Source organism: Homo sapiens, chromosome 21 (genome assembly GCF_000001405.40).
Source record: "Homo sapiens chromosome 21, GRCh38.p14 Primary Assembly".
NCBI lineage: Eukaryota > Metazoa > Chordata > Mammalia > Primates > Hominidae > Homo > Homo sapiens.
The window spans coordinates 24944945-24971529 of NC_000021.9; the positions used below are offsets into that span (position 1 = coordinate 24944945).

The window sequence follows — 26585 nt, forward strand, 5'->3', positions numbered from 1 at the left end:
CTGCATAAAATGTGCACAAAAACCTACATATGATTTTTCATATCTTTATTCATAATTGCCAAAACTTTGAAGCAACCAAGATGTCCTTCAGTAAATAAGTGGATGAATAAACTGGTAAATCCATGAAATGGAGCATTGTTCACCACTAAAATGAAATGAGCTATCAAGCCATAAAAAGACATGGAGGAAACTTAAACGTATATTACTAGGTGAAAGAAGTCAATTTGCAAAGGCTGTATACTGTATGATTCCAACTATGTGACAATGAAACAGGAAAAATTATGGAGACAGTAAAAAGATTAGCTATTTCTAGTCCAGGAATTAGGAAAGAAAGGGATACATGGATGAAGCACAGAGGATTTTTAGTGCAGTGAAACTACTCTATGATTCTACAATGGTGGATAAATGTCATTTTATATTTGTCCAAATCCAGAAAATGTTCAGTATCAGGAGTGAGCCCTAATGTAAATTGTGGGCTTTGGGTGCTAATGAGGTGACATTGTAGGTTCAACAGTTATAACCAAGGTACCATTTTGATGGGAGATGTTAATAATGGAAGAGGTTGTGCATGTGTGAAGGGAGGGCATATATGAGACCTCTTTGTATCTTCTGCTCAATTTTGCTGTGAACCTAAAACTGCTCTAAGAAATAAAGTCTATTTTTGGTCGGGCAAAGTGACTCACGCCTGTAATCCCATCACTTTGGGAGGCCAAAGCAGGTGGATCACCTGAGGTCAGGAGTTCAAGACCAGCCTGGCTAACATGTTGAAACACTGTTTCTACTAAAAATACAAAAAATTAGCCCAGTGTGGTGGCACGTGCCTGTAATCTCAGCTACTCAGGAGGCTGAGGCAGGAGAATCACTGGAGCCTGGGAGGCGGAGGTTGCAGTGAGCCGAGATCATGCCATTGCACTCCAGCTTGGGCAACAAGAGCAAACTCTGTCTCCAAAAAAAAAAAAAAAAAAAAGAAAAATGTCTATTTTAAAAAATACTACAAAATTTAAACAATAATCTATTGAACACACACACTCACCTTCAAGTTTAGTAAGTTAAAATTAAAATCACAATTATAGCTTTCTGTGTACTCCTCCTACTCTGCTCACTTTCCTTCACCACCAAGGGAAAACATTCTTTAACTTCTTAGTCATTATTCAGATGTGTATGTGCACTTTTACCTCTGGCTATGCTCATATGCAACTTATAGTGCTGTTTACCTATTTTGAAAATTCCCACACAGAGTATCACAATAATGATGAGGGTTGTTTATGATATGTAATGATGCTAATTTATGTAATAATATTGTATACATTTTCATTTTCATTATTCTAAATATTCCATTTAAATTGACCACTTTTTTTTTTTTTTTTTTTTTTTGAGATGGAGTCTTGCTTTGTATCCCAGGCTGCAGTGCAGTGGCGCGATCTTGGCTCACTGCAACCTCCACTTCCTAGGTTCAAGCGATTCTACCTCAGCCTCCTGAGTAGCTGGGATTACAGAAGTGTGCCACCACACCCCGTTAATTTTTGTATGTTTTTAGTAGAGACGGGGTTTCACCATGTTGTCCAGTCTGGTCTTGAACTCCTGGCCTCAGGTGATCCATCCTCCTTGGCCTCCCAAAGTGCTGGGAATACAGATATAAGCCACTGTGCCTGGCAAATTGACCATTTTTAACCACCTATTTTTTTTTCATAAATAGATATTGGTTTTGTCCTAACTTAAACTTTTACAATTACTAAAAATTACAATATAGCAATAAACCTGCTGTAGAACAATATGCATTCTTGAACATAAACCTAATGTAAAATAGCTTTTGCCATAAGAAATAAGCTATTTAGCTTTGTTACATAATGCTCAATCGCTCTCTAATGTTGATGTACAATTTTCAGTACTACTTATAGTATTAGGTTGGTGCAAAAGTAATGCAGTTTTGCCATTACTTTTAATGACAAAAACCGCAATTACTTTTGCATCACCTAATAGTATATAAATGTCTCCACTGCTCCACATACTTACCAAGGTAGTCAAATCTGGTAAAGAATTTTATTTTTCCATTTTCCTCATTAACAGTGAAATGACTCAGGCATAGTGGTGCATACCTGTAGTCCCAGCTACTCTGGAGACTGAGACTGGATGATCACTTGAGCCCCCAGGTTTGAGGCTGCAGTGAGCTATGATCACACCAGTGTACTCCACCCTGGGCAACAGAGCAAGACCCTGTCTCAAATAATAATATTAATAATGATGAAATGAGTGTGAGTTGTTATGTTTATTGGTCATTTAGGCTTCTTTGCTTGTGAATGTTTAATTCATATACTTTGCTAATATTTCCATACTGTTTATCTTTTCCTTATTGCTTCATAGTGGCCTTACTATGGCCATTAATTATGGATATCTATATTTATTACATATAGTCCCACCTAAACTTGTCTCTGCACTGATTTTATGGGGACTTTGCATTAGTAGGAGCATTTACACAATTCTTTATGAGTTGAAATTTTTAAAATATCATGTAAGAAATTATTCTCTATTCTAAGACCACAAGAATATTTTCCTCTAAAATTTCTCCAAAGGTTTTAAAGTTTTGTCTTTTGTATGTATGGAAATTATTTTTATATATGGTCGGACTTCAGGGATCATTTTGTTTTGTTTTGTTTTAGTACAGGTAGCCTATTGTTCGTTATCATTGATTGAATGGTTCCTTTTTACCTCATTGTTTTCTAACATCACTTTTCTCATACATGCAATGATCTTTCCCAGACTGTCTATTCTTCGAGTCTATTTGTCTATTCTGGCAATAACATTACCGTTCTCTTTGTATATTCGCATAACTTCATGATGAGTTAAGCTACCTGGGTAGCCTCCACCTTTTTTAGCTTCTTAAACATTGACTTAATTATTCTGAGGCTTCTTTGCTTTTGAATTACTCTCAGGCCTCCTTACTTCTACATACATTTTAGAATCGGCTTGCTAAGTGCCTTAAAAAATTCTGATGGAATTATAATTGAATGTATGAATATACATTAAATTAAATGTATGGATTAATTGAGGGAACATTGACATCATTATGACATTGATTCCTTCAAAAGTTTATGAACGTGGAATAACTTTTCCAGTAAATGTTTGATTTATGCTGTTACTTTGTATTTTGTTTCTATATTAAATAGTATATTTTTCTTAGAACTAATTTTTTTTATTTAGTACTAGTTTATAGCCTAGTTTATAGTGATCCTGTATTCAACAATTTTATTAATTCTCGTTCTAATTGGCAAGTAGAAGAATCTCAGAATTTATTTTTGGTGGGGGATGAGGTAAACAAATCTATAAATTTTAAATACTAGTGTATTTACAAACCATGTAGCAAAGATAGCTTTTGCTTCTTAACAAGCCAGCCATCTGGGTTGTGCAGTTCTGATTTTGGCAGGGCTCCTCATGTATACAAGTGCCTCCAGCAGCCAGCCAGCAAGCCACGTCCTCTTCAGAGGGATCGGCTGGGAACATGGTCCACTGGCCTCTCATATCTTTCATTGTCCCCCATCTAGCTCAGGGTAGCTCTGCATGGTTTCCAGAGAAAAGAGGTGTGTGTTGTCTCTTAATGTCTAGGCTCAGAACTGGAAAAGCATCGTGTATGCCACATAATTCTGGCCAAATAAGGCAAAAGTTCAGTTCAAATTCAAGAAAGAAAAATTGGCTATACCTCCCCTTGGAAGTAGATACAAAATCACTTTGGCAAAGGAACAGGGATTACAGGTAAAGGGACCTTTTTACAATCACATAATCACACCTTTGTTTCTTGGTCTCGCATATCATTTTTGTTGGCTTTCTCGTTAGTTTTTACAAAGTAAGATAATACTTTATTACTTATTCTTTTGGATCAAGATTTTTGTGATGCTTGTTAGAAATTATTTGTAGTAGAGGAGCTGATGGATTAATAGACAAGAGCTTTGACTGTGGTATAAATCATCACATGAATTGATGTTGGCAAAGAGTGTCAGGCTATCTATGCCAAAGCCTTTGTATTACTTCTTTTTTTTTTTTTTTTTTGAGACGGGATCTCACTCTGTCACTCAGGCTGGACCACAGTGGCACGATCTTGGCTCACTGCAACCTCCACCTCCTGGGTTCAAGTGATTCTTGCGCCTCAGCTTCCCAAGTAGCTGGGATTACAGGTGTGTGCCACCATGCCCTGCTCATTTTTTTGTATTTTTAGTAGACCCAGGGTTTCACCATGTTGGCCAGGCTGGTCTCGAACTTCTGACCTCGAATCACCCACCTTCCTCAGCCTCCCATGTGCTGGGATTACAGGCGTAAGCCACCGCGCCCAGCCTGCATTACTTAAATAGACTTTTATGCACATTTTGTGTGTATATTATAAATTTTCCATGCTCCTATACTTCCTGTTTTTATTCTTCACGTATACTTCTCTAAAGCTACCTTAGTTATGTGCCGTGTTGCACGTGACTGCTTCACCTTTCATTGATCAATTTTGTGTTGGCTGTTTACATTTTCTTTTTAGTACAGTAGCTTCATATTTTTTCTGTCTCCTTTTACCCCCAGCTCTTACTATCTCTTTGATAGAAAGAAGGAGTTAAATAATTTATTAAATCTCTTTTTTTTAACTACTTTGGTCTACAGATCCTCCTTTATGTCAGTCAATCAATCTGTCAACAGTATATTTTAGATTCCGCTGTCATAGAAGTTAAAAATATAGAATCAAACAAATGATATGATTTCTGCTCCCTTAAAGTTTACACTCCAATAAGTAAACATAATTGTACTATGTGGAAGAGAGTCACCCATCTTCCAAGCTTGAGAGTCTGTTTAGTATTTTCTATGCATATGCAATCTGAGAATGGCCATGAACAGGTTGCTTTATCATAGCACATGGATCTTTTAGGAGGCATTGGGGCTCCAGTTCTCAAATTTGCTATTCTTTTTTCCTCATACCATTAAACAAATCTGAGCTACATGAGAAAAAGTGATTTATCATTTTAAAAAGTCATCTGCATTACTTTTACTTTTAGATCAATTTTAATGCTTATATTGAATCCAAATTTGTCCACCACTTTTGTAAAGTTAGATTTCTTCGATGGCGATAATTTATATAAGTGAGTGATCAGACCATAAGAGAGAGAAGAATGAAGAGTCTGAACTGAGAAGTTCATCCATATTCTTACCCTTCACTTTGGAAAGAATGAGTCTGCACAGCTCAGCAGGTAGTGACTCCTCTCATGCGTTGGCATCACATATAAGCATACATGGGAGTAGACATATAAACTGTATGGCCCCCAGCAAGATGCACCACCACCAAGAGTTCAATTGTCTAAATTGTATTAGCTTAGCTTGGTGTGGTGGCATGTTCCTGTAATCCAAGCCACTCAGGAGGCTGAGGCAGGAGGATCACTTGAGCCAAGGAGTTTGAGGTCGCAATGAGCTGTGATCGCACCCTTGTACTCCAGCCTGGGCAACAGAGCAAGAGTTTGTCTCTAAAATAAATAAATCTGATTAGTCTGGGAGTTCCTTGAGAGCCAGAGTGCTTGATTCTCTTTCAGCTCCAATGTCCCATCCTAGTGCAGTTCCTGGAAGATATTCAGTAATAGCTGGCAAGAGAATATGAGAACAAATTATATGTGTATTGACATAATTTTAAAAAACTGCTTTCTCCTTCAAGCTTGTTTTGGTTCATAGATACTTTGAAAATGTTATTAATAGCATGATCCCTGGACATCACAGATATAAGGGCTTGCATTCACCAGCCTAATTCCAAATCTATTTTCTGAGTAACATTTTGAAATAGGGCGAAGCAGGACAACGCTTATTGCAAACCTCTTGGTCCCCTTCAAGGGGACTAACATTGAGGGAAAATGTTGTGGAAAAGTCAGCTGATTTTGAACAATGTATTAGTCAGGGTTCTCCAGAGACACAGAACCAATAGGATGTGTGTATATATAAAAGAGAGTTAATTAGGGAGAACTGGCTCACACAATTACAAGGTGAAGTCCCATGATAGGCCGTCTGCAAGGTGGGGAAAGAGATAAGCTGGTAGTAGCTCAGCCCAAAGCCTCAAAACCAGGGAGGATGACAGTGTAGCCTTTAGTCTGTGGCCAAAAGGCCCAAGGGCCCCCAGGAAGCTGCTGGTGCAAGTCCCAGAGTCCAAACGCTGTGGAACTTGGAGTGTGATGTCCAAGGGCAGGAGAAGTGGAAGCAAGTGTCCAGCAGGGGAAGAAGAAAGAGAGTCAGAGCAGGAGCAAGAAAGAGGTAGTGCGAGAGGAGGTGCCACACACTTTTAAATGACCAGATCTCTTGAGAACTCACTCACTCTCAGGTGAACAGCACCAATAGGATGATACTAAACCATTCATGCCCTCATAATCCAGACACCTCCCATCAGGCCCCATCTTTGACATTGGGGATTACAACTCAACACGAGATTTGGGCAGAGGCAAATATACAAACTAGATCAAACATTTTTAATGAGCCAGATGTTTGTCACTGACGTCTTCTCAACGTCATCTCTGAGCACTATATGATGGTTTCTTATACACCCTGGAGAATGAGTCTTCCCTCTCCCCTCAAAATGCAGAGATTGGTCAAATAACCATATTAGTATTGAATCTACTTAGTCAAAAGCAGGATGGGCCCTTCTGCAGCAAAGGGAAGGCACATCTGTTTAATATGTAGGATATGGTGAATGTCTGTTTAATATGTAGGGTATGGTGAATGTCTCATTCTTGAATCCTGAAGTAGGTTTGACTGCAGATGTCCAGAAGTTGATTGAAGCTCTGCTCCAAAGGGGGGAGAAAAGGTTTTGTATGATTGAGACAGTTTCTGTAATAAGACTACCTGCTACAAAATACTTTTAGCACTGATATTATTAAAATGAATTAAATGGGAAGTCATATTAAATAGTTTGATGAGGGTTGAAGTTCCAAATTTCTGAAAATGATGCTTTTACTCACTCATACTCACCTTCTTCAGAGACTTTGCTGCTGTTAGTGACCTAGTAAGATATGCTCTCACCTCTGGTAGGTGGAGAATCGCCTGTGTAGGTGGCAGGATTAAAAGATTTATTATCACTTTTTCACCTTCTTCCTGTTAATCTAGTTCTTCTTAGGCCCTTCTCCTGATGGTCTCACTTTTGGCTATGTTTCAACATCCAAGAACTGTTGATGTTTTATTGTCACTTTCTTTAGAAATGTGGAAATGTGTCCTGAAATGAGAACTTTATTACACTTGATATGGAAGTTACAATGTTGCTTACACCTTTAATGTGTAAAGCTCTGAATTCTTGTTCTTGTTTTGTTTTTTGCTAGATTATCTTTCACAGACTGGATTATAATCTGTGGCTTTTCTAACACAAATAAGGCCTGCTCATATATCAAGATATTTCCTAATTGTTTCTGTAAATACATCAGCAATCATTTAATTGACACCTAGTAATGGTCATTTCAAATGAATGTTAATTTATTATGTCATCTTTCTCAAAATGTTCAAATCAATACTATAATCAATATTTTATTGACCAAATGTGCCATATTAGTGAACAAATCCAGAAGTCTAGATCTGATTATTATAGTTACTTTCTTAGAATACAATTCAGACTTTGATACAAAAGCTATAGCCCTTGAACAAATCACATTTCTTAGTTTTGTTAAAGACACTGGTTGTTACCATCGATTAAAAATATTATTTTATTAAGATTTTCTCTGAAAGCAATGAATAAGATACACTAGCTATCATGAAGTTTACAATCTAGTGTGAAGTATTAGAAAAGGACTAGTGAGATCCAGGCAAGGACAGAGTAAGAGAGAAGATATAAACATCAGAAAAATAATAAACATGAAATTTTCAAAGCATGGTGAAATTGACATCAATGTCTTTGACGGAGAAAAGTAGACTTTTAAGTTTTTCTTCATTAGTTCTCTAATATTCCACTCATGTTTAGGGCACCAGTTATTGGATTCTTGCATCTTATGCAGTGAAACTGTCTTTTAAAATTAATACTGTAGCTCTATAGTTTACTAGCTATTCATTGTGTGTATAAGTAGTGCAGGAGAAATGAATGTAGAATGAAGCTAGGCTAGTTTTTCCTCTTACCCGTTTAATAAACAAATGTTGGGGAAAATATGGTCAAATATGAAAACTGTAGTGAATGAAAGATATTGAACCCAGGAACATGATATGCAAAAAATATGTAAGAATAGGGTTTCATAGAAAATATTTTACCCATTTCCATTCTCCTATCTGAAACATAGTAAGTATGTATTAGGAAATTTAGCCTTTCATTAAAAGCTTATGTTGGAATTTTGTTCAACTTAGCCAAGCATGTCTAATTAGCATTCCCGAAAGTTGATTGGTGCGGTGTAGTAGTTAGAGTTGCCTGCTGCAGAGTCTATCTCTAACTGTCTCAGACAGCTTCAATCCTGGCTATTCCATACATATGCTGACTAAGTGTTTGGGATTCAACTCTAGAAATTTATCAACTTTTTATTTTGTAGATTTCAGGTAGAAATACAGGTCAATAGTTTAAGATGTTAGTTGGCACTTTTATATTTTAAGGCCAATGAATATATAGTTCTTTTAATGTCCTCCAATTTACTTCCAATTTATTTTTACTTATACATTCCAGAGCCATATAAAAAATATCCTAACCTTTTACTCTTTTTTTTAAAGTATTATTTGTTTGATATTGCCCAGATGGCAAAGAGTTTTAAGCAATTTTTCACATGTTTTTGCCTACATTTTCAAATGATGTGTCAAAATGACAGAAATTTTGATGGCACTTTATTGTACTGTGATATATTACACTTAATGTTTCTATTTTCACTTAAAATTAATGATGCACATTGAAGCCCACACATTCTCTTTTAGCTAATTCATAATTTCATTCAATTTGGGGTTTTTAATTAATAAGTCTTTTTTACTTAAGCTTATTTCTTCACTTTTTAAATGATTTTATTTACGATTTGAGAAATGATGACTTCGGACCTGATATATTTATTTGGGTCAATGTCATTGGTATTTTCTATTAAAAAAGCATATTTTAATAGGCAATGTTTTCATATTTACTATTTGTGACTATAATTTAAATTTCAAATTCTTATCAAAATATTCTAGTTTGTGATAATCTCATCAATATGTAGCATGATTAATTTGCTACGTATATTCATTTCTGCATTTTATTATGGGTTTTTTGGTTACATATTTCTTTAGTCACCTCCAAATATTTAATATTATGCTTACCTAAATTTTTAAATCAGCTTTGTTCAGCCATAATTTTAGAATAAAATGTACCAATTTTTGGTATAAAATTCAACATATGTATGGTCAGTAATACTAGCAAAATAGCTTCGTCACCCCCAAAATTGTACTACTTAGCTCTTTCCTGTCAATTAGCTTTCCCTACCTCCCTGAAACTGGCAAACTCTATTCTTTCTAAAATAATAGTTTTGCCTTGTAAAAAATATTTTTACATAAACAAAACCATATAGTTTGCAGCCATTTGTGTTTCACTTCTTTCACTTCCTATAATGCTTTTGAAATTTAACCATGTTGATATTTATATTTGTTCATCTCTTTTTATCACTGGTAACATTCCATTGAATGGTAGCTTAGCCCGTTTGGGCTGCTATAAAAAAAATACTCTAAACTGGCTTGCTTATAAACAAGAGAAGTTTATTTCTCACTGTTCTAGGGCTGGAAATCCAAGATCAAGGTGTCTGCAGATTGGTGTCTACTAAGGGCTCACTTCCTAAACAGCTGCTTTTTCACTATAACCTCACATGGTTGAAGATGTAAGGATCTCCCTAGACCCTGTTTTACAAGGGCACTAATCCCATTCACAAGAGCTCTGCCTAAACACCTAGTAACCTCCCGATGGATCAGTTTCCTAATACCATCACCTTGGGAGTGAGGATTTCAACATATGAATCTTAGGGACACATGAACATTAAGATAATAGCAGGTTAGGGCCCGGCACGGTGCTCACGCCTGTAATCCCAGCACTTTGGGAGGGTGGATCACAAGGCGGGTGGATCACGAGGTGGGTGGATCATGAGATCAGGAGATCAAGACCATCCTGGCCAACATAGTGAAACCCCGTCTCTACTAAAAATACAAAAAATTAGCTGGGCATTGTGTCGCGTGCCTGTAATCCCAGCTACTTGGGAGACTGAGGCAGGGGAATCACTTGAACCTGGGAAGCAGAGATTACAGTGAGCCAAGATTGCGCCACTGCACTCCAGCCTGGGCGACAGAGCGAGACTCCATCTCAAAAAAAAAAAAAAAAAGAAGATAATAGCAGGTTAGTTCACTACAATTTGTCTAGCCATTCATCAGCTGAAGAACACTGTTTTCTTTCCTATTTGATCATATTAAAATATACCCCAACAGACAGGCAAGATGAACTCTTCATGGCTAACATGAGGCACAACCAAACAGAATCAAAGGGTCATGGCAGGGTGAGGAGCTGGTCACATATCCCTGTGTTACTCAGTACTGTCACGAAATTTTCTTTCCTGTAATTAAGCAGAAACCAGTTCCTAAAGAGCCTTGTCAAAACAACTACAGCTAGAGTGTCCCCTCTGACCCTCACAAGCTCAGCTGACACCTGGAACCTCCTAATTGAAAGACTTGTAGTTTCTATTGAAAGACTATCCAACCCAGGCTTTGCCCCTTATCCTACTGTTTCCCCTCCGGTTCTGCAGTCCCATCACAAATTCTGATTAGACAGGGTATTGGTCCTTCAAACATTCTTTCCTGATACACAACCACAAACCTCAAGCCAGTTTCGGCCGCCTTACACAGGATGTACACAAAATGCTTTGAACTCTGTAGTTCACCTTTTAATGTAGTCAGCTAAACTCCCCCTCATTTTAATACTAAAACTCAACCACAAAGTGAACATAGAGTGTATGTTACATATCTGTTTACCCATTGTGCATGTGCCTGACTTCCCTCATAAATATACATAGATTTTCCCCAAACCCGCTGAAAACGTATGACCCAATTATGCAAAACAGACCATGTAAGGCATAAACATCAGCCTCACCCTACCCTCTTTAGAGAACACATTTCACTTACACTGAAGGCTTTGCTTCCCCAGTTTGCAGATTTTTTTTTAATATAGAAATTAAAGCTACTCCTTTTCCCTCTGCAAATCTCATGACTTTTGTTAACATTTCTTTGGGGACAACGATGGGATCAGAAGTGGCCCCCAAGCTCCTTCCCAGCCACATCTGGAACAACACCTGATGCCTACAAGAGTCCCTTGAACTCAGTTATCTTCTGGCTGCTTTCTAGGATTTAAGATCTCCCATTTTTAGGTTGAAGCCTTGAAAACTTTTCTTCAGGAAGCCAGTTCATTAGGCTCTATCAGCCCTGTGGGGTCCACTCACATTTTGTAGGGTACACTTGCAATTTGTGGGTACACTCGTGCTTCCTGGGGTGTGCTCACATTTCAGGTTTTGCTGTAATGCTCACACTAAGGGTATCAGAAGGGACACCTTTGTCAGGTCCCTGCAATGAGTAATCCATGTCCCGAGGGGATGGTCTCTGACCAGCTGCCTTCAGGTACCCAGGTAAGCTTTACATTTAAAAACTATAGGGAAAATTCCTGCACCTTAAGGCTTTGGATAAACTCAACCTGAGAAAGTTTAAAGCCATGCCAAGACATTTTCTGGGACTCTGATTGGTAACATGTTTAAACATTATAGGGATCATTCAAACCACCTGTTGTTTTAAAACTAGAATAAAAGATTGCTGCTATAAAATTTTACATTTTAAACAAGATATGCTTATCGCATTGATATCTTGAGGCTAGGAAACAAAGAACCATTCAGGACTCAAAGACTGCCTTGCTACAAAATACTGTCTCAAAGCTAACTAAAACTTTTTTTCCTTTCCAGAGCTCCCCCTCCTTCTTTTGACAATTCTGTCTCTTTATCTTTCTGTGAGCTAAACTCTCTTTATCCAAAACTCCTCACTATTCTGACATACTATTTAGAAAAAACACTTAAAAACCCACAAAGATATAATTCCCATGTAAAGACCCCCTTCTTATGCTCAACAGAATGGCAACATTCTTACCTTAAGGGCAAAGAATTGAGTCCAAAATCTGCTGCATAGACTTTGTTAAAATAAATTTTATTTATATATATATATATATATATATATTTGTTCTCTTTACATAATTCAGTTAGATTTTCACAGTTAACTATTATTTGTCCAATTCAGTATATTGATAACTGCCTCAAATTGTTTTACCCAAAAGTAACCTGTTAGTAGTAGCTCAGTAGTAGCCTATAAAAGCCCTGCTAATATTTGTTGGTTTTTCCTTTCTGTGTTTCATCTGAATAATTTACATTTCTATGTATTTATATTTATTGATATTTTATTCTACAGTTTCTAATCTTCTGTTAATATCTTCCAATGTATTTTTTATTTCAGATAGTGTATTTTATCTCTAAAAATTCAATTTAATTCTTTTCACATCTTACTACTCATTATTTTTATACATTTTAAAAATATGAATTATACATCTAATAGATGTTTTAGTGTTCTTTTCTGCTAATTCTATAATACCTTACATTTGAAAGCCTATTTCTGTTTATTGATTTTTCTCTGTTATGGATTATATTTTTCTACTTCCTTTCATGCCTGTCAATTTTTGTTTGGGTGTTGGGCATGGTAGAATTTATGTTTTTGTTTTCTGAATGTTTTTTGTAGTCCTTTAAATATTGTCGGGCTTTGCATTAGATCACAGTTAAGATACCTGGGACCAGTTGGATCCTTTTCAACAACTGCTTCTAAGTTAGAATTGTTAATTTGTTAGGATGATCAAAAAAATCACTCAGTATAGAACTCTTCTGAGGAGTTACAAGCATTATTTCTCTTCAATACTTGTTTTCTTCACCTAAGACAATGCTGTCTCATGCAGGCAAATTTCAGTATTGGGATAAAAAGAAGAGGTTTTCCTCATTGCAAATATCCAGGGCTGTCAATCTCTCTACTCTCCAAATTTTTTCTTATAAATTTTAACTACCTTGGTCTTCTGAACTCCAAATGTCTCCTCAACTCAGCAGGACCACTAATCTCTGTTCAGTTCTCTGTGTTTTGTATTTAAGCGTAGGAACTCTATTAAAGCAGTAAGCTGAGGCAATGATGGGGCTTAACTCATTTGTTTTCTCTTATTCAGGAATCACTTTCCTGTACTGCATATTTCCGTTGTTCAATATAAAAACAAAAATGAAAGCATAACAACAAAAACCGTTGTTTCATATATTTTGTTTGGTTTTCTATTATTTTAAGATTGGAAAATAAATCTGGTTTTCTTCACTGTAAGCAAAAGTCAGATTTTTTTAAAACTTATTAAAAATATTTATTTCTCTAATTCCAAATTTGTTATAGAGTTGTTTCATTTCTATTCATACCGAGAGTCTGAATATCCTAAAGGTTAAGACACCAAATCGCCTGGGTGTAAATCTCTGCTTTGACAATTACCTCTTAGGTGACCTTGAAAAGCCTCCTTGGCCAGGCTCATGCCTATAATCTCAGCACTTTGGCAGGCCAAGATGGGTGGATCAACTGAGGTCAGGAGTTCAAGACCAGCCTGGCCAACATGGTAAAACCCTGTCTCTACTAAAAAAAATAACAGAAATTAGCTGGGTGTGGCAGTATGCACCTGTAGTCCCAGCTACTGGGGAGGCTGAGGCAGGAGAATTGCTTTTACCTGGGAGGTGGAGGTTGCAGTGAGCCGAGATCATGCCTCTGCACTCCAGCCTGGGCAATAGAGTGAGACCCTGTCTTAAAAAAGAAAAAAAAAAAAAAAAACAAAGAAAAGAAAAGGCTTCTTAATACCTTTGTGTCTCAATTTCCCCACAAGAATAGCTCTTCATAGAGTTGTTGAAGGGATTAAGTTAGTTAATATAGAAAAAGCACTAAAAGCCATTTCTATCATATATTAAGATATTATTATCTCTAGTTCTGCTATCTAGTCATGTACTTATACATAAAGAAATTAGAAGGCTGGGCACGGTGGCTCAAGCCTGTAATCCCAGCACTTTGAGAGGCCCAGACGGGCGGATCACCTGAGGTCAGGAGTTCCAGACCAGCCTGACCAACATGGACAAACCCTGTCTCTACTAAAAATACAGAATTAGCCAGGCATGGTGGCACATGCCTGTAATCCCAGTTACTTGGGAAGCTGTGGCAGGAGAATGGCTTGAACCTGGGAGGCGGAGATTGCAGTGAGCCAAGATCGCGCCGTTGCACTCCAGCCTGGGCAACAAGAGCGAAACTCCGTCTCAAAAAAAAAAGAAAGAAATTAGAACCAATTTTTAGTACCATCATATTTGTGGACACATTTTATATTTTACTTTGTCATTTTTACGTTCATTTTAATACATTCCTTTGTTATTTTAAATATGAAGAGGCTCACTAATCTTATGCCTCTATTTTCATAACATTTGAATTCATTACATACATAACATCTAAGGAAACCAACTTATACATTTGACCTCAATGAATCCTCATAATAGTTCTATGAGATTAAAACCAGTGATAGCTACACTATGCTGATTTGGGGAATAAAGTTAGAGAAGTTCAGTGATGTCCCCAAGGTCAAACAGCTGTCTCCTGAACACTGGAATACAAACCCAATTCCCTGTGATTCTAGAACCTTATCTGTTAGTGACTATGTGACTACCTCTATTAAATATCATTATAAGTAGGATAAACACAATTTCAGTTTTCCTTCGCAGAGTTCTGCTTCATGCCTGCCTTGCAGACTGATTTTTATTTAATAGTGCCCATGGTCACTCACAAAAAGCCAAATTTGAATGATAAATTATATATTCACTGTTATATACATAACAGGTATTACTGACTGATGAGATTTATAATGAGCAGCTAAAACCTAGAGAGTGATTTATACAGTTAAAGGAGGTGACGTCTCTAATGTCATTTTCCTATGCTTCAGTGATTTTATCACTTTGACTTTTAGAGAAAAATGACATGACACTTCACAGAGATTTGTTAAAATTTAGCAGTTAGTTATTCAGCCTTTCCCATTCTGCTGGTAGTTACAAAATAAGGTAGATATTGAAGGACAGAGGTTAAATGCAGGAAGTGTATCTTGTCAGATGCCCAACACTCCATTCTTGCCTCCTCAGCCCTACTCAGATAAAAATAGAATAATTAAACTTTTAGGAAGAATCTGTAATCTAGTGGCTCTTTAGGGGATGGAAATGTGGGACAAGAAGGAGAATAAGAGAGAGAAATGAGTAAAACAGATATGAAAGAGAAATGAAGAGCCAACAATTTTTTTTTTTTTTTTTTGAGATGGAGTCTCGTTCTGTCACCCAGGCTGGAGTGCAGTGGCACGATCTCCGCTCACTGCAACCTCCATCTCCCGGGGTCAAGCAATTCTCCTGCCTCAGCCTCTGGGGTAGCTGGGATTACAAGCGCACACCACCACGCCCGGCTAATTTTTGTATTTTTAGTAGAGACAGGGTTTCTTCATGTTGGCCATGATGGTTTCGAACTCCTGACCTCAAGTGATCGCCTGCCTCAGCCTCCCAAAATGCTGGGATTACAGGCGTGAGCCACCACACCCGGCCTCAGCAAAGTTTTTAATCATGTCAGAACTGCACTTATTTTTAAAGCTGCAAAAACATAAATAATCTATTCATTCCTCTTAGTCACTACTGAACAGGTAAAATAAAATATTTAGTATTATCCCACGCAAATGTGAAAAAGAGGGTGAACGCAAAGCATTGGCTGTTCCCAGGAGAGAGGCAACTATGTCATTAAAGTTTGCATAATTGTTTTATCCATGAAGCAAAGAAAGGCAGTTGGGCTCTTTAATAACAAAAAAGGAAATACTGGATGATATACTAGTGACTGTGAAATAGTTCAGGGACTGTCATGCAGGAAATGAAATGAAATTGCCTACTTTGAAGTCTCTTGCCTTTGCTGTTCTTTCTGCTTGAAAATCTTTCTCCAAATACGCTTATGGCTTACCTTATCATAGCCACTGGAAGTCATTTTTTCACTGAGGGCTTCCAAAGTTGCCCTACATAACTTGCTAATTCTCTCTCACACACACGCACAGTCACACTTCCTAGCTCCCTCTCTGCTTGTATTGCGTCATTTAGCACTTACTTCTACCTAATAGAGTATGTATTTTTCTTATTTTTCTTTTTTATTACCTCAAACCTACCTAAATGTGGGGCTCATAAAAGCAGGAATTTATATCTAATTTGCTCACTGCTAATCACCAATGCTCAAATCAGTACCTGGTAATGGTTAACAAATACTTCTTACATTAATAAATGATGAACAAGATATTTGTTTGGTTTTAACCCAAAGGGTTGAACAAAAATCCAGAAATAAATTGGAAGGTGGCAGATTAGGCTCATTGTAAAATATTAGGACTACATTCTGTCTCTTTATGAGTAAGTGGCTCCTCAGAACATGATTCTAACATACTTGAAGTTACTATATGATCAACTGACAGAAGTAATTTCAAAAATTCTTGCAGATTGGATGAGAGGTTGATATTCTTTTCCTTAGTACAGAGAAACTTTGGTTATTCAGCAAAGGGAGAAAAAGATGTTCAAAGCACTACACACAAGCTACAATACTAAAATGAAGACTAGCTTTCCTGTTTAATCATAGTTCTCGTTAGTTTATTTCTATTACTCAATCTAACTTGAAAACTTGCTTCTGTGAAACCTGAAAAATAAAAATTGAACCAAGAGAGAAGGTGAAGGAGATATGAGTTCTGGGAGCAGTGGTGGAGAACAAGAAAAACAAAGGAGAAACAGCAACTCATAGAGCCTTTTTTGCATTACTTATTGAGACAGATACAGTTTACAATGCTGACATTTGTCTTGAGAAAGAGAAAGAGAAGAAAAAATTTACTTATGACATGTTTTATTTTTCTAAAACTTTGAAAGGTTCAAAATTATCTTTATGCAGGTTTCACATATTAATTTAAAATCTTACTGACTTTGTGAAACGGTACAAAAATCAACAACAACAGCAACAAAAATAACTTGAACTCAATAAATGCCACTTGAATCAGCAAAGACCCACGTGTGTGGTTCTGTCAAATCCCCTTGCTGCAATAGCTCTGCCAATTTACTTGACAAATGTGTAGCCCTGGACTTTCACCCCTTGTTTAACAGAACAATTTGAAGATGATACTTTAGAAGTCTTTCAGATCATTAGATGGTTATTTTTGCAGAAGCAAAGGAGAGAGAAGGAGGTGCTACACACATTTCAAAAACCAGGTCTTGTGATAACTCACTCACTCACTCACTATCATGAGAACAGCACCAAGGAGGAGGTGTTAAACCATTCATCACGGACCACCCGCATGATCCACTCACCTCCCACCAGGCCCCACCTCCAATATTGGGGATTACAATTCAACATGAGATTTGGGCTATCAGCTTGGGAAAAAATACTATCAGCTTGGAAAAAAAACTATTTTGTACTTTGCTTTTTTAAAGCACAAAAATAAATAGGAGTTATACATTTAACATTTTCAACATTCAGGAAAATAAAATATTAATTTCTCTTTTTCATAAACCAAATGCATTTTAGGCTCAGTTCTTCTCTATCTCTTATTTCATGGCTACTACTGTGTTTTTCCAACTAGGCCAAGAGTAAAACATTGCTGAATTTTTATAATAATACAAACCTCATTCCCTATATATTTTCACAGGAAAAAAAATCTTTTTGGCGATAAAAAAATTTCATCATTACCCTGATGTCATGAAATTATATTCTGCTGAATTGACCAGAGAAAGACATTGTGCATAAGGCATGGTAGATCCATTAAAATTCAAATAAACACATTCAATTTTAAGGTGAAATTTGTTCATTTGCATTTTTTTATAATTAGTAGTCATGGAGGATAATACTTTGATGACATACTAATAAAAATACATCCACAATAATGTATTATTACTAGACTTCTCTTTATTTCTAACAACATAACAAACACTGTGATAATGACTGATATGGTTTGGATCTGCGTCCCTGCCCAAATCTCATGTTGAATTGTAATCCCCAATATTGGAGGTGGGGCCTGGTGGGAGGTGAGTGGATCATGCGGGTGGTCCGTGATGAATGGTGTAGCACCTCCTCCTTGGTGCTGTTCTCATGATAGTGAGTGAGTGAGTTATCACAAGACCTGGTTTTTGAAATGTGTGTAGCACCTCCTTCTCTCTCCTTTGCTCCTGCTCTGGCAGTGTAAGATGTGCCTGCCTTCCTGTCTCCTAATCATGATTGTAAGTTTCCTGAGGCCCTCCTCAGAAGCAGAAGCTGCTATGCCTCCTGGACAGCCTGCAGAACCATGAGCCAATTAAACCTCTTTTCTTTATAAACTACCCAATCTGAGGTAATTCTTTTTTTTAAATTTTATTTTATTTTAAGTTCTGGGGTGCACGTGCAGGATGTGCAGGTTTGTTACATAGGTAAACATGTGCACGTGGCTTGCTGCACCTATCTACCCATCACCTTGGTATTAAGCCAGGCGTGCATTAGCTGTTTTTCCTGATGATCTCTCACTCCTCCCCGTCTCCCACTAGTCCCCAGTGTGTGTTGTTCTCCTTCCTGTGTTCATGTGTTCTCATTTTTTGACTCCCACTTATAAGTGAGAACATGCAGTGTTTGGTTTTCTGCATTGCTGTGCTGAGGATGATAGCATCTGGCTCCATCCATGTCCCTGCAAAGGACATGAGCTCATTCATTTTTATGGCTGCATAGTATTCCATAGTGTGTATGTACCACATTTTCTTTATCTAGTTTATCATTGATGGGCATTTGGATTGATTCCATGTCTTTGCTATTGTGAATAGTGCTGCAACCAACATATGTATGCATGTATCTTTATAGTAGAATGATTTATATTCCTTTGGGTATACACCCAGTAATGGGATTATCAAGTCAAATGGTATTTCATAGCACTGCAAGAACAGACTAACACAATGCCTTTTTGCACACATTATTTCTAATTATCAAAACAACTCAGACAGATCATAATCTTTGATTTACAAATGAGGAAACTTAAACTCTAAAGATTAATTGGAAGCTCATATAGCAAAAAGGGAGGTATGATCAGAATTTGAAACTAAGTCTTATTGATTCAGTAGTTATAATATTTATTAGTAGTTATTTGGTAATATCAATGAAATGGATAAACTGGTTAGCTAGCCTAACCAAAAATTAAACAAACAAATAAAGAAGACACAAATTACTAATACCAGGAATGGAAGAAGGGTCATCACTACTGTCTCATAGATGCAAAAAGAATAATAAAGGCATATTATGAACAATTCTATGACCACACATATAACTTTGATGATATGTACCAATTAACTGAAAAGCACAATTTGTCAAAACTGACACAAGAATATGTAATTAGAATAGCTCTATATCTATTTTTAAAATTGAATCAATAATTAATAACCTTCCAAAAAATAAAGCGCTAAAACTGATGGTTTCAATGTTGGATCTTACCAAACATTTAAGAAAGAAGTGATAGTAAACCACAATCCCCAAAAAATAAAATTGGAAAGGACACTTCCTAATATATTCTATGAGGCAGCATTATCTTAATCTCAAAATCAGATAAAGACATTACAGAAAAGGAAAACAAGGGACCAATATCTCTGATGAACATAAATGAAAATTTTCTCAACAAAGTATGAGCAAAGAAAATCTAACGATATATAAAAACGTATACACCAGGGCCAAGTGGGATTTGTTGTAGATTTGCAGGGCTGGTTCAACATTCAGCAGTCAGTTAATATAATGCACCATATTAACAGATGAAAGAAGAAATATCACATAAGCATATCAATAGGTGCAGAAAATGCATTTGACAAAATGCAATAGCCACTTGTGATAAGATATCTCAGAAAACTAAGACTAGAACTCACTGAAGTTGGAAAAATAAAATCTATAAAAACCTATAGCTAACAGCATACTTAATGGTAGAAACTGGACAATTTCTTTCTGTGGTTGGGAATAAGGCAAGGATGTTTTCTCTCATCACTCCTATTCAATTCTATGATGGAAGTCCTAGAAAATGCAATTAAAAGAGGAAGGGTAATACAACATATAGAGATTGGGAAAGAATAAATAAAACTGTGTTTGTTTGTAGATGACATGGGTTGTCTGTGTAAAAAATCCCAAAGAACTAACAAAATTACTCCTGGGACTAAAAAGCAATTACTGCAAGATTGTATAATACAACCTTATAAATACACAATAGTCAAATTATATTTATGTATAGCCTGTAATAAACAAATATAATTTGAAATTAGAAGCATTTTGGTTCAATTATACAAATATATACAAGATCTGTATGAGTAAAACTACAAAGCTCAGATAAAACAACAAAGATATCTAAATAAAAAAATAGATGTTCCATGTTTATGAATAGAAAGGCCTAATATAGTTAAGAAGCTAATTGTTTACAACTTGATCTAGATACAAACAATCGCAACCCAAAATTCTAGAAAGTCATTTTGTGGACATCAGCAAATGACTCTAAAGTTTATATGAAAAGAAAAAAGATGCAGAATAGCCAACACAATACTGAAAAAAAGGAAAAAACTTATAATACTAAACTCCTGGAGTTTATAAATTACATAAAGGTACATTAGTCAAGACAGTGTGATACAGGCAAAAGGCTAGAAGAATGGAAGAACAGGTCAATGGAAAACAATACAGAGCTCAGAAACAGACCCAAACAAATACCATTAACTAATCTTTGAGAAAGGAACAAAGGCAATTCCATTGAGAAAGGATAATCTTTTCAACAAATGGTGCTGCAACAACTGGACATGACCAGAGCAAAGAGATTATTACAGACCTAATTAAGGACTTTGGACCTCCAGACAAACGCAATCTTTGCTGAGAATGGAACTGCCTGTAAGTAAGTTCTAAAGATGTGTTCTGCAGCCTAGTGTCTACAGTTAACAATACAGTGCTGGGCACGTCAAAATTTGTTAAGAAGGCTCATCTCATGTTAAGTGTTCTCGCCACAAAAACAAAAACATAGGGGCACAAGAAAGCTTTGGGAGGTGACGGTTACATCTGTAACCTCAAATGTACTGATGCTATCACAGGTGTTTGCATATACTGAAACTCACCAAATTGTCCACATTAAATATGTGTAGTTATTTGTATATCAATTACACCTCATTAAAGCTGTTAACAAAAGAATCAATGTGATGATTTGCATAGGAGAACATACATAATTCAGGTTATAAGGCAAGAAAGGCCAGTGGGAATGTGAATTCCTATGATCACCTCACACAAATTAAATATGGGGTTCTAGACTCTGAGATAAATTCCAGAGCGCTCTCACTAATAACTAATTGATCGCCTAATGATCTCTTCAGTGAAATGAGGATTTCTTGAAGAAATACATGAGTTTGTAATGACTCCCTGCCTGCTGAAAGCCTTCCAATCCCCAAACTGAGTGGACCCAGTGAAGACAAAACAGTGATATATTTCTTTTTTTTTTAATTATTATTATACTTTAAGTTTTAGGGTACATGCGCACAATGTGCAGGTTTGTTACATATGTATACATGTGCCATGTTGGTGTGCGGCACCCATTAACTTTCTACCCCATCACAGCAAAGAATGAACACAAATGGTTATCCAAAAAAAAATCAAAATCTTTAGACATATTCCTGAAGAGACATAAAGAAATAGTTCCTTAGGGATAAGGGAAGCCCTAATGAGAAAATGTCACCTACATCTCAAGGTAGTTGTCAGAGCTAGATTAAAGAGCTATTGATACTCTACAATTCCCAGACTTCCTGTGGGCAAGGCTTATGAAAGGCAACAATTGGGGAAAAGTTCACTTCTTCCTACTCAGCCTGAGGCATATTTCCCACAGATCGGTTGATTCATTTGGCAAACTTTTATGGAGCACCAACTATATATTGTACTATACACTACACTAGAATCAGGAGATTAAAAAGTATGATTACAACACAGTCCATATCCTGAGAAATAGTCCCATCCTTTAGAATCTTAATATTTTTTCTAAAACATGATTTGGTGGACAGTCTGTTTCTTTACTTACGTGACATATTTCATATAAACTATAGCAGAAAAAAAGATACTATTTAAGAACGAAGACTGCAGCCAGATTGCCTGGTTTCCAGTTTTTTTTCATCTCCTCACTATGTGACCTTTGCCAAGTTTCTTGCCTCCTCAGTGCTTTATATTTCTCATCTGTACAGTGCAATGTATAATATACTGAGTACAGTGTCATAGTTATCTACCTTGTAAGGTTGCTGTGAGGATTTAAGTGAGTTAAAACCTGTAAAGTATCTAAACCATTCTAGGCGCATAGAAAGTTCTAGAGCCATGTTTGCTGCTGCTGCTATCACCCGTGTTATTACTGTTGTTGCCGCCGTCGTTTTCATTCCAATGGGTTACAGGCTGACTGATGTTTATATAATCAATAGGAATGTTATCTCACCATCCCATGGCACATTAACCACAGCAACTGTTATTTAGTAGCTACGTCTGTACTGAGAGCCTTTCAAAGATTTATATCTATTACCAAATAATACCTTGCTGTAGGGACACAGATCCACAAATATTAGTGACTTTGTGACAATCACTAATATCTCTTCAGGCACAGAGTTTTGAAGTTCTTTTTTTCAACTAGAGAGTTATGCAAATATTATGTATACTCACTGCACAATTAAACCTAATTATTTTAAAATGCAAAATGACGGACATTGCACATCATCTCACCATATTTTTCCAAATAGGATAGCATAGGTGTACCGTCAACTTTATGACAAGAATATGGCAGAGCTGTGCATCCTTTGGGAGAGATTTCCTACAATTACTTAAATTCCTTACACTTTAACTCCTCGGAATTTCTGTAGAGGAAGAAAAGTGAAATCTGTAACTATTATGCCTTCTACTCTGTTATATGCTCCCATCTCTGTGAATCTTGATTTAAGCTGAGTGCATCGTTAATCTTTAATATAACCCGAGAACAATAGTCAAATAGAATAATGAGTGGTATTGAAGAAATATATAGAACAGCATGCCCAGAAATGCATTCAACCACTCCATATCTTGCATTATTAGACACACCCACTGACTTGCACAGATCCAGAATTTTTAACTCTTTGTTGAAAGCAAGGGTAGGCAAAACTTATTCATAACAGACCAGATAATATAATATGTTCAGCTTTGTGGGCCATATGGTCTCTGTGACAACTACTCAACTCTGCTACTATGACATAAAAGTGATCATAGACAATATATAAATAAAACATTATGGCTGTATTTTAATAAAACTTCATTTATGAACAGTAAAATTTGAATTACACGTAATTTTCATGTGTCACATGTATTATTTTCCTTGAAATTTTTTTCAAAAAATTAAAAATGCAACAAGTCTTTGCTCCCAGACCATACAAAAACATATGGCAGGCTTGATCTGGCTTACAGGCTATAGTTTCCTGAGCCATAATGCATAGGAATCAGAATATTTTGAATTTAACAATTTAACCATGGAACTGCAATCATTACCTAGAAGATTAGCTAATAACATAAAATGTCTCAAGGCATGCATTAAAACTTCAGTCTTATTTTTCTCATTTATTTATTTAGGATTCTAACTTTAAGAACAGAAATCATGGGTTATGATTTCACATCTACCACTGTTAGTTTGCTAGCCTTCAGTGAAAATTTCCAACCTCTAGCAACCTCTTTTTCCCAAAGTCTGTTATTTGGGAGATGGATTATATCACTACTATCAACTCACACTATGTATCAGAATCACCTGTGGAGAAACCAAGGCCGAACACTCAGAGATATGGCGTCAACAGGTGACACCAACCTGCATCCAGGGTTGGAAACCACTGGGCTACTGAGCTCCAGACCTCTTTCTGTTTGATAAGTTTAAGAATTTCTATTCTGTACATACCGTTGACACAAATATCAGTAATAATGTAGCATTACTTCAGAGAATATTAAATTTAAATAATTAGTAGAAACCCTTTGCAAAAAAATTCAGAACTATTGAACTTCTCCTCCTTCACGATGGCAAAATCAAAAAGAAAATATATATTTAACTCCTTTTAGCTCACTGTTGAGAGATGGACAGAATAGAAAGAAAATAAGTAAACAAATCATATGTATTTCTTTTCCCAATAGCTAGAGCATAGAAAATTACAGAGAAATAAAGCAGCAATAATCTGAAAGCTTCTATGTATTCTTATTCTCAAGCCCTATTTCCTTATTTAGGGGGTTTTGTAGTTGAACAATTGCAGCAGTATTTCTCTGCTTCCAGTTTCATTATTGAAAAGACAGTTCACACAAATATTCAAAAATAAGCAGTCTACATTTTCATAATATGGTTCATTTTTTCCTAACTTTTAGTACATTTCACAGTCAATATCTTGTGTATACTCATGTTAGTGACTCAATTTTCAACTGTCAGCTTCACAAACCGTCATCAAAAAAATCAGATGATCAAGCAGAGCTTGGTTGTTCAGACTTCTTACAGTAAGGGACACACACGCAGACACACACACACACATCTAAACACACACACACACACACCTTCTTGATTAAAAAACAGTAATGTTCCAACCTTTGGGTAGGAAATATTTAGGGTTTTATAACCTGAGCAGAATGATTTTAAGATGAGTGTTTCAAAGGAGGAAACTGGTTGAAATTAGGTATAGTTTTTGAATTACTAGATCTAGATTAGTGATCACAGTGAGGAGTGGGTCTTAAAGGGGGATTTGATAAGCAGGCTGTCCTTACAGTGAGGAGTGAGTCTTAAAGGGGGATTTGACAAGAAGATATGTCAGCCTGCCATATGTTTTCATATGGTCTGGGAGAAAAGGCTTGTGGCTGCATTTACAGTCTTGTCTTCAACAATTAAATATTTCTTGCAACAAGTAATTAAGACATTTTTGCTTGATTCCAATATTGTTTGACATAGGGACATGTAAATATGTTCATCATATATATTGCTTAACAGAAGGGCAGAAAAGTATGCCTGGACCTGGCATGACTTAACACAGAGAGAAAAAAAATGTTTGTATTAATGCTCACTGACACTTTTTGTCATGCTTTTGGTCATGCCTAAGATATACCATTATCTTATGAACTACCTTAGTCTGTTTTGTATTGCTACACACAAATACCTGAGATGAGTAATTTATAGAGAAAAGTGGTTTATTTAGCTCATGGTTCTGCAGGCTGGACAGTTCAAGGACATGGCCATGATTTCTGGCAAGGTCTTCTGTGCTGCATCATAACATGGCAGAGAAGGTCAAAATGGAAGCAGTTATGTGTGAAGAGGAAAAACCTAAGAGGCATCCTGGCTTGATAGCAACTCATTCTCAAGGGAATTCATTAAGTTCCATGAGAACTTATTCAGTCTTGCCAGAGTGAGAACTCATTCACTACCATGAGAAGGGCACTAAGCCATCAGGAGAGATTTACTCCAATGATTCAGACAATTCTCACTAGGCTCCACTTCCCAAGACTGCCATTTCAGGGATCAAATTTCAACATGAGGTTTGGTGGGAACAAACTCAAACCAAATCACAGCATGAGGATATGATCAATGCAGATCAAAATTACTGTCTGATGTATTGGGTTCACTGTGTCAGGCAGAATGGTGTTTCCCCATAGGAGCCCGTTTTGAAGCCTCCATAGCTTATGTATATATTAGATTAAATAGCAAAGGGGAATTCGAGGTGATAGATGGATATAAGGTTGCAATCAGCTGACTTCAAGACAGAAAATATTAGCTGACTTTAAGACAGAAAAAATTATCCAGATAAGCAAAATATAATTATAAGAGGACTTCCAGCATGACTGTTGGAAAAATTATTCCCCAGTGAAACTGGTAAAAATTATTTTTTTTTAAAAAACAACTTTTTATAACCCCTGGAAATGATCCTAAAGGAATACAGCAAATGAAGAAACATCCATTCAATTAAATCTAGTAATATTCAGAATGAAAAGCAGGAGTGTGTAGTATTTAAGCAAAGTCCACTCTCCATTGCCCTCCCAGTTCAGAGATATTATCATAAGATATTAAAAACAATAAGATTTAATAGCTGACTTCTCCAATCTAGACTTCCTTAGCCAAGAACAAATGGCATCTTCTCCCACAGCTTCCAGTTGGAGAGCTTTCTTCTAGGGCAGAATGCAACATCCACATTTCTTCTCCTACTGCCAGTTGTCTCCTGTTGCTGAGGTTGTTTCAGGTGAGAACAGTTGAGAGGCAAGGCCCCCTTCTTCACCCCACCCTCCACTCATGGAACAGAGACTCCATTTCGGGCACAGTACCTTTAAAAATACTGGAGCCCCAGTTGCCTTACCCTGGATCATAAGTTTCCACACCAAGAAAACCAACTCATGAAGACCTCATGCTACAATCTCCACTTCCATTGGGCACTCAGGTTCAAAAGTAGGAGCATCACTCAGAGAAAGTATCCCATCATCTCAAACCTAACCACAGAGGCCTAACTCAATATTTTACTAGAGGGAAAAGCAGGCCA

The 26585-nt window shown here is 36.5% G+C and overlaps 1 long non-coding RNA gene across 1 annotated transcript in view, besides 1 other annotated feature; it reads left to right on the forward strand.

The window, feature by feature from the left end:
* The window catches only part of LINC01692 (long intergenic non-protein coding RNA 1692), a 217197-nt gene that overhangs the window by 104395 nt on the left and 86217 nt on the right, over nucleotides 1-26585 (forward strand). The gene's annotated exons all lie outside the window — the stretch shown is intronic.
* Nucleotides 10585-10634: an enhancer, noted in NCBI's record as "active region_18302". NCBI's record gives its function as "activates an Ori minimal core promoter by ATAC-STARR-seq in GM12878 lymphoblastoid cells {active_cell/tissue: GM12878}" and the evidence as "EXISTENCE:reporter gene assay evidence [ECO:0000049][PMID:35858748]".